The sequence below is a fragment of the Homo sapiens genome, chromosome 6 (genome assembly GCF_000001405.40).
Source record: "Homo sapiens chromosome 6, GRCh38.p14 Primary Assembly".
NCBI lineage: Eukaryota > Metazoa > Chordata > Mammalia > Primates > Hominidae > Homo > Homo sapiens.
In genome coordinates this window covers 136,649,767-136,666,190 of record NC_000006.12, presented here as the reverse complement: position 1 = coordinate 136,666,190, position 16,424 = coordinate 136,649,767, and the positions used below count along the sequence as shown (strand labels likewise).

Here is a 16,424-nt window from a genome sequence, read left to right as displayed (position 1 = left end):
TTTTCCAGTTTTTGAAGAATCACTGATGCTTAGGCTATTTAGAGCTAGGATTTAAAAACACAGAGCCATATCCTACATCTTCTTCCTGTTTTCACCTTTGCAAGCCTTAAAAATAATATTCAAACTTTAGCTAAATAACAAGATGATGCTTCCATCTTCTGTGGAATTTTCCAATTGTGAGACATTTTATGGGTGAGAGTCAGACTTAGAGGTTTGAGTCTCCAACAGTAATGATGATACAGTAAAAGAACACTATGTTTGGAACTTAGACAACCACTATTTAAATATCATTTTCAGTGAGCATTAAAAAATATTGAATAGAAAATATATATTACTGTACATAAAAATCCATGAATCAATAGAGATAATCAAGGAAAAGTCATCAGAACAAAATCTATCACCAACCACTGAAAAACTCCTTTGTCACCTATGGAAGTGACCAACTTTTCCGAAAATTAGAAGTTATAAGGAAAGAAGTAAGTACTTTTCCTTCCTCTTTCAGAGATACTGTAGTTCATCCCGTTGATGAAATATAGCACTTCTTAGGCTGGGCGTGGTGGCTCAGGCCTGTAATCCCAGCACTTTGGGAGGCGGAGGCGGGTGGATTACCTGAGGTCAGGAGTTCAAGACCAGCCTGATGAACATGGTGAATCCCTGTCTCTACTAAAATTACAAAATTAGCCCGGTGTGGTGGCATGCTTCTGTAATTCCAGCTCCTTGGGAGACTGAGGCAAAAGAATCGCTTGAACCCAGGAGACGGAAGTTGCAATGAGCCAAGATTGTGCCACTGCACTCCAGCCTGGGCGACAAGAGCGAAACTCCATCTCAAAAAAAAAAAAAAATACAGCTCTTCTTGAGCTATGCTACATAGTAAATGTATTATTCTTCCAGAGAATGTATTCTTCAAAAGTACACTATTATAGTTAATAAAGTAATGATAAAGCTGATAATGAGAGTGATGTTGAAATAATTGATTCTGGCAAGGATCATCAATTTGAACTAAAAGTATTAAATTGAAATGCTTATTTAAAAAAAATTTACATTTTACCCCTTTTACATGATACCAAAGCTAACTCATAGATAACTTGTTAGTCACAAAGGAACAAATGTACCTGTAGAATGGGAAGACCCAGCTGTCAGTGATCCATCCTTGTATCACTAATAATAGGGTGGCGAGACATGTGCCCTTAGGACTTTATTATGATAACTGTGAAGTGTACAGCAGCTCTTCTTTTTGATTTTTTAACTTTTATTTTTTGAGATAGAGTCTCACTCTTGTCACCCAGGTCTGGAGTGCAGTGGTGCGATCTTGGCTCACTGCAACCTCCACCTCCCAGGTTCAAGCGATTCTCATGCTGCAGCCTTCTAAGTAGCTGGGATTACAGGTGCGTGCCACCATGCCCAACTAATTTTTGTAGTTTTAGTAGAGACAGGATTTTGCCATGTTGGCCAAGCTGGTCTTGAACTCCTGGCCTCAAGTGATCTGCCCACCTGGCATGAGCCACCACATCCGGCCGAGTGTACAGCAACTCTTGTGAAATATTGTCACCAAAAATGTTTAACTTGAATCTTAAGATCTAAAGTTCTCTTAATAGGAATCACAAGCTCTAGAGAAATAAGTCAAATAATCCCAAGAAGTTACATCAGACAGATCAGAAGGTGAGCACACTAGAGCAGCAGTCCCCAACCTTTTTAGCAATAGGGACTGGTTTTGTGGAAGACAATTTTTCCATGGACCAGGGGTGGGGGGTGGTTCAGGGATGATTCAGGCACATTACATTTATTGTGCACTTTATTTCTATTGCATTGTAATATATAATGAAATAATTATACAACTCTCCATAATGTAGAATCAGTGGGAGCCCTGAGCTTGTTTCCCTGCAACTAGATGGTCCCATCTGGGGGGATGGGAGACAGTGACAGATCATCAGGCATTAGGTTCTCATAAGGAGCGCACAACCTACATCCCTTGCACGCGCAGTTCACAATAGTGTTCACGCTCCTATGAGAATCTAATGCTGTTGCTGATCTGACAGGAGGCAGAGCTCAGGCAGTAATAAGAGCAATGGGGAATGGCTGTAAATACAGATGAAGAAGCTTTTTGCTCACTTGCCTGCTACTCACCTCCCGTGTGTGGCCCCATTCCTAACAGGTCACAGACCAGTAACTGTCCATGGCCCTGGGATTGAGGACCCTGCACCATGGCACTCCTTGTCTTTTCGAAAAGTCAGGGTCATAAAAAAAATGTGTAGAGGGATTGATTAGATTAAAAGAGATTGAGGCCGGACATGGTGGCTCATGCCTGTAATCCCAGCACTTTGGGAGGCCAAGGTGGGCCTCACTTGAGGTCAGGAGTTAGAGATCAGCCTGCCCAACATGATGAAACCCCATCTCTACTAAAAAAAATACAAAAATTAGCCGGGCGTGGTGGTTCACACCTGTAATTCCAGCTACTTGGGAGACTGAGACAGGAGAATCGCTTGAACCTGGGAGGTGGAGGTTGCAGTGAGCAGAGATCATGCCACTGCACTCCAGCCTGGGCAATAGAGTGAGATTCTTTCTCCAAAAAAAAAAAAAAAAAAAAGTGAGAAATTTAGAGACATAAAAACTAAATGCAATTAATGTTCCTTGATTGGATTCTGGTTTGGAAAAAAAAACTATAAGAGACATTTGGGAGTCAATCCAAGAATCTGAATCAGGACTAGATGATAGATAATATCAGTGAATTGTTTTTGTTAGGTGCAATAATGGAATAGAATATATAGGAAGATATTTTAGGTATATGCTGTAATATTTCAGAGCGGAATGTCATGATGTCTGTAATTTAATTTGAAATGGTTCAGCAGAAATATTCAGGGAGATGAAGCAATAGCAAAATGTTAACGATTGTTGAAAATATGGTCATTCATTGTAGTTTTATTTTGATGTATGTTTGAGATTCTTCATGATGGAAAATTAAAAAGGATCTAACCTCCACCACTTATAAGGTGTATGGCTTTAGACATGTTGCAATCCTCTCTGGGCTTTATTTTTCCTTACTACAAAAGGGAGATAATCTCTAACTCATCGTGGTGGTGTATGGATTGAGAGAGTTAACATTTTCAGTACACACAGTGCTAGGCATCTGAGTATTCAGTAAAGTCTGCCATTTTCCACTAAAACAGCCTTGAACATAATAACAGCTGCAAGGTGATAAGACTATGACAAAAAGTAAATGATTAAAAAATCCTCAGTGTAAGTCAACCAATTTTAATGACAGCATTGTCAGCATTTAAATTGCATAAATATGCAACTGAATCAAATAAATGGTGAAGTGGTTGTTAACACAGCAATGACATACTGCTCATTGCTTAAAAATTCAACCAAAATATTTTTAAATAGAGAAAAATATTGATCTGGAAGGACTTGGTTAAAAAGGTACAACTGAACATCACGAATTGTGCTTTATTAATTTTTCTGTATGGATGAAGAGCCTAAAAATATTTTAGTCTGGAACCAAGTATAACAGTACTCCTGAAATTCTATCCTATGGAAAAAATCCTAAATACAAAACAAATTTGATGCACTAAGATGTTTATTTCTATATTCTGTGTGGGTGTGAGAGAGAAAGAGAGAGGAAGAGAGAGAGAGAAAGGAAGAGAGAGAGGGAGAGAAAGGAAGAGAGAGAGGGAGAGAGAGAAAGGAAGAGACAGAGAGAACGGACTTCTAAATATAAAAAATTAGAGCCATGTTCTTAACTCCATACTTAAAAGATTAATGTCTTCATGTAGAAACAAGTTTGTGCAAAGAGCATAAATGCTCATTCACAAAAGAAATACAAACATGAAAAGAGAGCCAATCTCAGCGGTTAAAAAAGACAATGTTCCTTTTTTTCCTCTGTCATATTGGTAAAGATGAATGCACGTGATAGTCCCCCTCACTGGGAAGGGTGTGGGTAAGACCTTATTGTCAGATGCCTCCAGTGAAAGTATAAATTGGTACAGCATTTTCTAAGGGCAATTTGGCAAAAATGCATCAACACTAAAAATGGGCATGTCTTCTGTCCCTAACAAATCCACGTTTAGAACTGTATTATAAAGAAATAATTGAGCAAATACACAAAGCTGTGTGTACAAGAATGTTTAGAGTAATAAAAATGGCCACCCATCTGCATTTGGGTAAATAAATTATGATACATCCATATGCTAAAATACTAATTGACATCAAAAATATACATTTTATCCAAATGCTGGCTGGGTGTCACAATCATGTGATAAATGTATGGCAAGGCCAAAACCAAATATCACCACCACAAAATGAACTTCTGAGGTTCAAGAGTGCATCTGAAATTTTATTTTAAAACTATTATTGGGTCAGGTATGGTGGTTCATGCCTGTAATCCCAGAACTTTGGGAGGCCAAGGCGAGAGGACTGCTTGAGCCCAGGAGTTCGAGATGAGCCTGGCCCACAGAATGAGACCGTCTCTACAAAAAAATAAAAAGTAGAAACTACAAAGAAATTTAATTAGCCAGTTGTGGTAGCATCTGTTATCTCAGCTAGCAGGTCTAAGGCAGGAGGATCACTTGAGCCCAGGAGTTCGGCTGGGCAACATGGCGAAACCTTGTTTTTCCAGGAAAAAAAAACAAAATTTAGCTAGGTGTGGTGGCTCATGCCTGTACTCCCAGCTACCTGGGAGGCTGAGGTGGAAGGATCACTTGAGCCCAGAAATTCAAGGCTGCATTGAGCAGTGATCGTGCCACTGCACTCCAGCCTGGGCGACAGAGTGAGACCTTGTCTCAAAAACAACAACAACAAAATTATATCCAGATAGAAGACCGTGGATGTTGTCCTATGCGTGTGTAATATTTTTTTTTCATCTCGTGAAACAGCAGTGGCAAAGCTGTTCTCTCTTTACCCTCACAAAATGTGAAGAATTCCCAAATGGACATTTTCCTGAAATACTTGTGGTTTGAGTGGAATTATACGATAAAAAGTAACATGAAAAATTTTAAATGTTATTTTGTTTCTTTCACAGATAATTTTCAAAAAGCTAAAATCATGACTCTCATCAAATATAAAATGGACACATATAAAATCATGACCCTCAGCAAATATAAAATAGACACATAGAAAATATTTTATTTAACTCAACTAATATGGAAACTAGTAAGATGGAATGTCCAGTTCAAAAAACATTTCTATTCATAGACAACAAAGAAATGTTAAGATAAGATATCTGAGTTTGATTAAGGAAAAAAAAAAAAGCTGTTTTGTGTCCACAGGCCATAAATCTTAGGGATTTATCCATTCCACTCTACAGAAATTTGCATCTCTACTGGACAAAAATCTGCAAGTTAACAAGTAAACTTCTGTAAGTCTGGGACCTTTAATAAGTAGTACATAATGAGATGAACTAGCGTCACTTTCCTGAGATAGTCCTTGAGTGGCCTTATCTTCCCATATGATATTGAAATGATATATCCTACCTTTTTGCCTTATTTCTAAATCTCAGATAATTTTCCCAACAATTTAATGTGATGGATGTTAGTGGCACCAAACAATGCTACAAGGATATATTTTTTTAAGCAAACAAATACTTATAAAATGCAAAAATAATACAAGACATAGTAGAATTGAAAATATATAATGAAACATTAAGAACATAGAAGTGCCAAAACAGTGTTGAAAAAGAACAAAGTTGGAGTATCTACATTACCGGATTTCAGGACTTTTAAGACAGTGACATAACAAGACAGTATTATCTGTCAGTCTAGTTCCTTTTTTTTTCTGTTTTTTCTTTTTTTTAGATTTTAAATTTTTTTTCATGAGACAGAATCTTGCTATGTTGCCCAGGCCAGTCTAGTACTTCTGAGTTCAAGCAATCCTCCCACCTCGGCCCTCCGAAGTGCTGGGGTTACAGGTGTGAGCCACCGTGTCAGGCATATTTCCTTATTTCTTTAATGTTTTAAGTGTATAATTTTTGTGTCTAAAGTTATTATAGCATTTTATTCTTGCGAAATATATATACTGTATGCATTTATACTTCAACTGATAGAATTTCAGCGTAAAAAAGGTAAGATTTTCCTTTTAAGTTATTTAAGAATCCATGTTGTAAAAAGACAAAGAAGAAGGTTACATAACAATGTTTGTATTATGACCTTTTAATTTATGCATATACTGACATATATAAAAATTGTAGATTTATGTACATTAAAGTGACCATAGCAGTTATCCTTGGGTTTTCAAATTAAAGGTTAATTTTCACTTTCTTCTGTGTACCTTTCTGGTTAGTCTGACTTACTATTGTTTTTTTACCAAAGTTTTTATTGTGATAAAATGTACGTAACAAAAATTTCCATTTGAAGTGCACGCTTCAGTGGCATTAAGAACATTCGCACTGTTACGCAGCCAACACCACTATTCACCTCCCGAACTTTTTTATCTTCCAAATTAAAACTCTGTACACGTTAAACTATCAGTCCTCATTCCCTTCTTCCCCCAGTCCCTAGTAACCTCTATTCTGCTTTCCACGTTTAGGAATTTGACTGTTACAGGTACCTCTTGTAAGTGGAATCACTCAACCTTTGTCTTTTTGGGTCTGGCTTATTTAATTTAGCATGTTTTCCAAGTTCATCTATGGTATGTATCAGTGTTCCATTCCTTTTTATGACTTATTTTTACAGTGAACTGAAGCCACCTTAATAATCAGAAACTTAACAAAGCTGTTTTAATCTGAAAAGAGGAATGAAAGCTTAATTTTACTTTTTAGTGAAAACCTGGTTCTACCTGTGTGGGGTGCATTTGTAACATTCTACTTCCTGTTTGTATTCTAGGGGTGAAGCTAAGTAGTCTTCTTGGTAAAAAGGGAAACTTGGAAAAACTCCAGAGCTACTGGGAAGTTGGATTTTTTCTGGGGGCCAGCGTCCTAGCCAATGACCACATGAGAGTCATTCAAGCATCTGAAAAGCTTTTTAAACTGAAGACACCAGCATGGTAATAATTAGCTATTATATGTTGATACAATTAATAAACAGCTCCATATTGTTCCCATATTATATTTATTGAACTGACAATTAGATGATTTTATTTGCTTATAAAATAAAATGCAGAATATAGAGGAAAATTGTGATATTCATAAAACGTGTTACACATCAATTCTGATGACTTTGGACATAGGTGATGTCAGCAGGTTCCTGACTTAGCCTCTCCTGCACATTGACCAACCCACTGGCCCAGATTGGCCAGTGTCACCCATGTGAATCATGCAGAGGCCATGCATTTTGCACCTGCAAATATAACTTATGTTCGGGGCCTGAGACCACATTTCCATTGCAGCTGTTAGACCTCTACTCCAAACATATGCCCTTTGTTTCCTCTGTGATCTAATCTCAGTTTTGGAATTCTCATTCTTGATTTTGTTTTCTTCTTACTTAGGATTTGACTGATGACACATTTGAGTGTTTCTTATATTTGTGTGTTTTTCTAATTTGAAATTGTTCTTGGAGTGCACCCAAATCTCATCATTATTTTTGTGGTAATTGGAGAGGTGGAAACAAAATTCCATCTGCATTCAGGACCATATTGAAAAACAGTGTTGGCCGGGCGCACGGTGGCTCACACCTGTAATCCCAGCACTTGGGAGGCTGAGGTGGACAGATCACTTGAGGTTAGGAGTTTGAGATCAGCCTGGACAACCGGGTGAAACCCCATCTCTACTAAAACTACAAAAATTAGCTGGGCATGATCGCGGGTGCCTGTAATCCCAGCTACTTGGGAGGCTGAGGCAGGAGAATCACTTGAACCCAGGAGGCGGAGGTTGCAGTGAGCCAAGATTGCGCCACTGCATTTCAACCTGGGTGACAGGGCAAGACTCTGTCTCAAAAAAAAAAAAAAAAAAAGAAAGAAAGAAAGAAAGAAAAGAAAAAGAAAAAGAATTTTTATTAGCATCACATGTAGCGATTAACCATTAGCTATAAAGATTTTAAAAGGCTAACCATGATATAGTGGAAGCCTGTTTCCAGAGCCGCTCAGAGCCCAGGCCACCGACTCGGCTGTTTTCATCACAGAAACCGTGTGAGGAAGAGACCACCATGTTAGGCCCTCATGGCTGTTTAAAGAATTTTCCTCATGTTCAGGTCTCCTTTAGCCAATCCTCCCCAGGGATCTTTCTAAAGATCACAGTGATCTTTCAAAAGTGCACACCTGACACTTCTCCTGCACTGAAATCCTTAAATCAATATAGTTTAATTGTTCCTCACAGCCTAAGGAATAAAGTCCATCATTTTGTCTTAGCAAACAAGATTTGCCTTTAGCCATTCCAGCCTCGGCTCTTGTCACACTCCTGGGTTTACACTGCTGTCTCTTCATACCACACTGCTGGTTTCATGCATGAGTGTCTGAGCACGTGCTGAGCATGCCTCTCAGAATGCACACATTCTCCGAGGAACACTCATCCATCACACCAGCTCACAAAGCCGACCTTGACCTAGAGCCCTTCCTCACACCCAAGTCCCTTCTTTAGTGTTTCTGTCATTCTTTAGTTATGCTTCTCTTGATACTGAGTGTATAGCTTTTTAAGTTGTCTCTCTGTTTAGTCATATCTCCATGGATATTTATTCTTGGTGTTATAATACCTTTTGATATTTATCCCCACAGCACTGTGTGCAGCAGTAGGCATTCAGCAAATGATATGAAATAAAGGAACCAATAGATGCACGCATGATATTGAGTCACATTTGCTATTTCTTTACAGTGACCATTCTGATGGCAGTATTTTAGGCATCCTGGTTTTTTAACAAGAAAACAGGCACTATTCTATGCAATGGTACTCGCAGCCACAAAACAGTGCCTTAAGGTTCCACTAACTTAATTTTTATGGAATGTTAACTTCCATGTTTATAGTCCATAAAGCGCCTGCATAGCCATTATCACCTATAATTATCCCACTCCTCATTTTTCCTAACTTTTTCTTTTGAGGCACCATCTGTCTTATTAGGTTTGAGGGTATTTGTATAATATATAAGCTGAGTTGCTTCAGAGCTAAATAATGATCTCTTATGAAGTGTCTATTTAGGAAAGCTTCCTCAAAGAAGCATAATTAAAAACAAATGCATTAACCGCTTCCTTGAATAGAATATACACATTTTAAAGTTCAAGTTTTAACTAGATGTATGGCCCTAGTCCAAGTTACCAAGCCCTCTAAGCCTGTTTCCTCCTCTCTAAAATAGGGATAAAATAACCAACGTTATTGAGTTTTTGTGAGATAGAAATGAGATAATGTGTGAAAGCACGGCTGGGCGTGGTGGCTCACACCTGCAATCCCAGCACGTTGGGAGGCCGAGGCAGGTGGATCACTTGAGGTCAGGAGTTCGAGACCAGCCTGGCCAACATGGTGAAACTCCATCTCTACTAAAATTGCAAAACGTAGCCAGGCGTGGTGGTGCATGCCTGTGATCCCAGCTACTCAGGAGGCTGAGGCAGAATGGCATGAACCCGGCAGGCGGAGCTTGCAGTGAGCCGAGATTACACCACTGCACTCCAGCCTGGGCGACAGAGCGAGACTCTGTTTCAACATTAAAAAAAAAAAAAGTGTGAAAACACACGATATGCAACAAATAACGAATAACGGTGAATCTGAATGCATAACTATTAATGTCATGTATAAATTACATTTACAGAATTAGACTGGGATACATGGGAACAGGTGGTTCTAAATTTGTCTGTTACATGTTTTATATCTTTTCCTTCTCAGGTACCTCAAGTCTATTGTAGAGACAATTTTAATATATAAGCATTTTGTGAAACTGACCACAGAACAGCCTGTGGCCAAGCAAGAACTTGTGGACTTTTGGATGGATTTCCTGGTCGAGGCCACAAAGACAGATGTTACTGTGGTTAGGTTTCCAGTGAGTACTCTTCCTTTAAATCTAAGTACATTTCTTTATTTAAAGAACATCTTGTACTGTGATTGTATCAGTGCTTGGGGGCTGATTTTTGGTGCCTTAAAACTGCAGTCATCTGGTTAATATCTTTATTTCCTGCACATTGGTTTGCTTTAGCTTACTTTTAAAAATAACTTCTCAAAATCAGAGAAATGAGATCTATTTTTATGTTTTTGCCATGGAATTTGGGTGGTTCCTTTTGATAAGTGGTGGAGTGTACTTCCTAAGCAATGCAAAGACTGTCTCTTGGCTTAGCTTCATGCCAGCCCGATGTATGCTTTTCCTTAATACTGCAGTCACGTTGACACAGTCTTCAGTATTATCTCCCGTATTGTGGTGAAAAGTATCAGGCTTACCTGCATTGTTATCCCATCCCCACCACCCATTACCCAGGTGGGTCAGAGTTAGATGTAATATCCCCAATCACTATTTACAATGTTTTAGACCATGGGAAATGACTTGCAGTTTCTGGTCTGCAGCTCATTTTTGCTGGTCTCTAGTGGACTTCAGACATATAGATTTAAATGTATAATACACACACACACACACACACACACACACACTTTAAAAAAATTTATTGCTCTTCTCAGATGGTGCCATGCCCCTCTGGATGGTTCTTAATATCGTCCAGCATCCAATTCAAGAATTACTGGCAACTCCCTGTATGTACAAATTTCTTTCCACATCAAAGTGATGCCATAAATCTCTCTGAGCTCTCTAATCTCTATCTTCCATACTTAGAGGCGGTGACAGTTCTCAATTCTTTTTGTGAAATCTTGTTTTCTAGTTCTTGTTGATAGGATCATCTACTTCACTTAATTAAATCCATTGCTGACATGAGCATGCTTTACTCTTGCTTCCAGATGAAGCCTTGAGCTCAGCAGGGTCCTTAAGCGAAAGCCTTTCTAACTGAAACACTTCACTTTATTTTCTAGCCTAGATAATGTGTAGCCTAGGAAAATACTTACCTTAGAATGAGCTGGCAGCTTGCCTGTAGCTGGTGCTCTCAGTAGCAGTAAATGTAGTGAAAGAAGAGAACATAGAATTCAGGTATTTAATTGACTATTGACTTGATTGACTAGAAAACTGGCTATGAAAGGAAACCATTCAAATTCGTCACTTTGAGCCCGTTTAGATTAGTATCATATGAATTTGTCTGTCATACTATAAATATAAGTGAATATAAAAAATATTTGACAGAATTTGTCTGTCATAAATATAAATAAGTGAATGTAAAAAATAAACCAGAAAATATTGAGAAGTTAGGAGAATATAGGTATAAACACCAGTTGAGAGAGGCATCCTTAAGCAAGAAAAGGACTTATAAGACCTAAAGGAAAATATTCACCAACTTGATTTCACTAAAAAATGGATATTTTTGTTTGATTAAAAAAAAACACCATGAACATGCCAAATAGGAACTGCTAGGCAGGGAGAAAATGTTTTATAAAACTGTGCAAAATTGTCAATTTGCCAAATATGCAAAAAAATCCTATAAAGTGATAAGCAAAATAAAATAAGAAGAGGCCAGGCATGAGGACTTATACTTGTAATCCCAGCACTTTGGGAGACCGAGGTGGGCGGATCACCTGAGGTTGGGAGTTTGAGACTTTCCTGACCAACATGGAGAAACCCTGTCTCTACTAAAAATACAAAATTAGCCAGGCATGGTGGTGCATACCTGTAATCCCAGCTATTTGGGAGGCTGAGACAGGAGAATCGCTTGAACCTGGGAGGCAGAGGTTGCGGTGAGCCGATACCATGCCATTGCAGTCCAGCCTGGGCAACAAGAGCAAAACTCCATCTCTAAATAAATAAATAAATAAAACAAAATAAAAATAAAAAGAAGAATAAAAAATTTATATGAAGAGATAATTAACTTCTGGTTAGTCAAGAAAATGCAAATTAAGTGAGACACTATTTTTTTGCCCATTGGACTCAAAGAATTAAAACATTTTACAACAGTTGACACCATTGTGGAGACAAGAGCATTTTTAGAGCCTGCTGGTGGGCATAGGAATTGCTGAATATTCTGGGATTCTATCTGGGAAGGGGATGATAGGATTGTGTAAGGGATCCTGAGGACCTCAACTTTATTTGCCACATTTCATTTCTTTAGAAAACATTTCGAAGCAAATATGACAGCATGTTAACACTTAGTTATCTGCGAGTGGTAGGCACATAGGTGTTATCTTGCCAACATATTTTTGGCATATTTGATTTTTCTCAGCAATCCATTTCCTTCTTGAAACTTTGTGGCTTATTTGGGGTCTGTCTTTTTGTGACAAGACTCTAAAATGCAGTGTTTTCCCCCTCATCTCTAAATACTACTCCTACATCAGAATTCATAACTCAGCTACTCAAAACTTCTTTTCTATAGTTTGTTGTTACACAGAGGACAAAATTGTACAATTTTGTAGTCCTTCTTGAGTTTTCCTACAACGACTTCATTTGTGTCTAGAAAATGCCAGTCTACCAAGAAGCTCCAAATTTAATGGAAATTGCTTTAGGATTAACCGCTTGATTGTTTTCTTATATTTACATGTATGATAAAGCGTTGCAGAAACTGTAAAGATACTGCTTTAAAAAATAATGAAAGCCATATAGATGATTTTTAAATCTCAGTATACATGATAGCATAGCAGAAAAACAGGACAAATATTTGGGTAATAAGTTGTAACCACTTCCGGAATTTGCCACCCGTGCTCTCCCTCATAGAGAAAGGCAGCCTTTTAGTACCTGTGGGGCGATCTTGGTCGCTGCACCTTGTCATGTCCTTAGCATAGCATCTTCCGTGGCTCACACTACAAAGGTTGCAGTAGGTGTTGATTAGGATGATAACATTATCCTTCTTTTGAAATGCATCTAAATAAAATCCAGGATGGCCTATTTTAGAAAATATTTGATTGTTTTTATTTATCTCAATACTGTATTCATTCTCATTTCTCCAAGAATTAACTGTGACTCTGGGCAAAAGAAAATTGAAAGTTTATTTGGGAAATGATTTGAATGGTACCATCATTTATCACTTCAATTTATTCTTTTTTCTTACCTCTCCTCTTGGTATATTTCCTTTCCTTCTTACATTGAAAAGTTTGGAGACCATCAACTCATTATCTAACGTCGGGAAAGAGGAAGGAGAGACGTATGGTACTTCAAAGACCCTGTAGAAACTTAAACATCTGGTTAATATCTATCCTTTATAGGCCTTGCAGTCTTCCTTTTTGATTCAGATACATGAAATTAGCAGTTAATTATAATATTAACCTAAAAACAAGGAACTAAAAGCAAGAATATATAAACTCATAAGTGAGGTATATCTACCTTTAAGACTTTGTCAAATTGCCTCCATTCCCTGGTCTGTTTCCCAGCCTTTCTGTGACCTCTGTAATGTGTGCTATGCATTTCTCACATTTTGTCATTTCAAGGATAGAGCAAAGAGCTCAACAAATATTAGACAGTGATAGTTACAACCTTGTTTTTATTTCCTGTCTCAAGTTAGGGACACATAGTTCAGATTTTATCTGTTAGAAATACTGAGATGACAATAAAGACATAATTTAACAAGAGAGGAGTTAGTGCTTTTCTTTTCTTCTGTTGAGTATAATAGTGTGCCCACATAATTTGGGAATGGAGTATATTCTCACTTGTCAATGAAGAGAGTTGGATGATGTTTTGGGAAACCCACCTTTTATTCTCTATTGTTTTGATTTCATATACATTGCGATACTCAGATATGAGAGCACCATTTCTGCAAAGTTTAGATGGGAAAATGATTTTCATTATTCATCATTACCGCTTATGTCTCTGTTGATTGGAATTAAGATTTTGATTCACTGGGTGAGTTTGTTCCTGAGTCAGAATATGTTCACTTATGGGCTCTCACTGTGTGTTTATTTGTTGCATAGCCCATCTTATTTTCACAGCTAGAGACTGACTGAGAATTCTTGGAGCCCTTAACGTTTTTAATATTCAAAGAGTAAAGAAAAATTGTTTTTTTCTACCTCCCTTTCTCTAGTTCCCTGTACCTTAAGTAAATGCGCTGTTAAGGTAAGTTGAGAGTAAAACAAATATGCCCAGATTCTTGTGCCTGCTTTCTGAGAGTGCATTTCATGTTTTACTGTATTATGAATCTGTAATTCCTTATGGGTGGAGCCTTCTGAAGGAGTTTTCCTCCACTTTTATTTGGAAAACTTGCTTGATTCAAGATTAGTTCTAAAGATAATTTTCTTGAGTGTTAAGCAGTAGAGTAGAATGATTATTCCAGTTCCTCTAATAGTTAAGTATTGACTTTTCTTTTTTTAAACATTCCTAGTGAAGTCTGCCTAGGAAATTTGGGCCAGGAAGATGCCTTTAAGCATCTATACAAGTAGATAATGAATCATAGCACCTTTGAAATCAGGGCATGTGTGTTATTTTAGTATTATTCACTCCAAATGTGAGATATTAGTAATAATATAATACTTCATGCTGTCCTTTGATGGAGATTCTCAACTCATTTATCACATACCCCTTATAGAGCTTCAAAATAGGAACAAATTTTATTTCTCTTTTTCTCTTACAAGGCTAAATGTATCATTATTGAAGACGCCAGTTTCATCTGGAAGGCAGTGCAAAAACGTGTTTATTATTTCATATAGCTAAGTTTGTTTCTTTGGTTTGTATATAAAACTCAGGAATAACCAAAACCATTTCTAAGTTTATTTACATGGGTATGAAAACCATACTACTACATCTGTATGATAAAGTGTGATAGCAGAAAAACTAAAATAAGGATGTGACATTCTATGTATGGACCTTTTCTGTCTTTCTTTGACACATTTATATTTATAGAAATAGCTTATGTAGTACATGATAAAATAGAAGATTTTTTAAAGTTATCACTAGTAGATTCCCTGAGGATAGCTGAACCCATGTATGGACTTCAAAAATTTATTTCTAACCTTATTAGCAATACAAGGTGATGCATTATTGAACCTTATGATAATTGATAAATAATGTAAAATGCTTGAAGGATTTATAGGAATAACAGCAATCAGAAGTTGAAATGGTTTACTCCAGGAACAGATTCAGAAGCTCATGCAATAATCCTCTACGTTGGTGCTGGGGTGTTATAGCAGCTCTAAGTGGTTTCAGTCTTAAGTCACTGATATTAGTTTCTTTGCCGTATCTTTTCAAGGTATTAATATTAGAACCAACCAAAATCTATCAACCTTCTTATTTGTCTATCAACAATGAAGTTGAGGAAAAGACAATCTCTATTTGGCACGTGCTTCCTGATGACAAGGTAAATTGTGCAGTTATTAACACAAGAGCATTAGTAACAAGGGACTTTACACCCTTCTAGCATTTACATACTCCAGCAAATGTCTGTGTTAGTTAAGAAGAAATAGCTCAGCTGTGTGTCTGTCTTGGCATAAATGCATTCCGTATTATAAAACTTGTTAAATTTGAATTATGAATTTTTATCAGTATTAATAAAATATAATTGAACTATTTGGATTTTTATTATAGATGGCATAACCATCCAAAGCATACTCAGAATTGGAATATTTCTCTTTTGTAAATTCATGCCGTAAGTTATGCACCGAAGAACTAATACTTAAAATACGTGACATAAAAGATGCATATGTTAATTTTAGGAAGCCTGTCAGAATGATGCCACTTTTAATCTTACACTGGTACCATTATAGTTATCATTACATCTAGCTGTTTTGTTATCTAAGTAGTTGCCAAATCTCAGATTAGCCACTGACTCAGTGTGCTGTGCACAAAGTGAGGTGGGCTGTGCGACCACCTATTTTGAGAAAGATCTTAAAACAGTCTCACTTCCGCTCATAGCAGTCATGTGGATAAGCCTTTCCACTTCTATATTCATCAGTTTTAATGCATGTGCAAATCATCCTACTATTTTTTACAAACAGACATTTTCAGGACCTGGCTTCAGTCCACAGGATAAACCAACAGAAATGAGAGAAGTCTTGTGGAAAAATAGTTCATTTATTTTCTTTCTCGTAACTGTTTCCCAGAATGCCCTTATAATTTTATTTAACCATCATTCATCAACTTACTCATTTAATAAATGTTTATTGAGCACTTACTCTGGATCAGGCACTACCAGACACGGTGTTAGACCCTAGGGAAACAGCTGTGTCCAAAATGAGTGAAGTTCCTGCCTCCATGGTGCTTGCTTTCCACTCAGATAGGGCAATAAAGCAATAAATAAATGTATAGGTATATTCAATGGTGAGAAGGGAAAAATAAAGCAGGAAGTGGAAGCAGGAAGTAAATTTGGGAGTATGGGCTTGCAGTTTTTTACATGTAGACTTGAGTCAATAGACCTGGATTCAAATCCCACCACTGCCCTTGGGCAACTTGGCTTCTCCAAGCTATGGTGTCCTCATCTGTAGAATGAGATAATAATATCCATCTCAAAAGGCTGTTGTGAAGGTTAAATGAAATAATTTGGTAGAGTGCATTTCACAGAGCCTGGCATATAATAGA

The 16,424-nt window shown here is 37.4% G+C and overlaps 1 protein-coding gene across 10 annotated transcripts in view; it reads left to right on the top strand.

Moving 5' to 3' along the window:
- The window catches only part of MAP3K5 (mitogen-activated protein kinase kinase kinase 5), a 236,046-nt gene that overhangs the window by 126,901 nt on the left and 92,721 nt on the right, over nt 1–16,424 (top strand). For 7 of the 10 annotated variants that reach the window (NM_001438058.1, XM_017010872.2, NM_001438579.1 and 4 more), the window contains 3 exons: nt 6,813–6,972; nt 9,731–9,884; nt 15,100–15,207. In NM_001438058.1, the coding sequence (NP_001424987.1) occupies nt 6,813–6,972; nt 9,731–9,884; nt 15,100–15,207 (422 nt within the window). The remainder of the gene's footprint in view (nt 1–6,812; nt 6,973–9,730; nt 9,885–15,099; nt 15,208–16,424) is intronic. The other 3 variants (XM_017010875.2, XM_047418784.1, XM_047418787.1) reach the window with 1 other exon arrangement.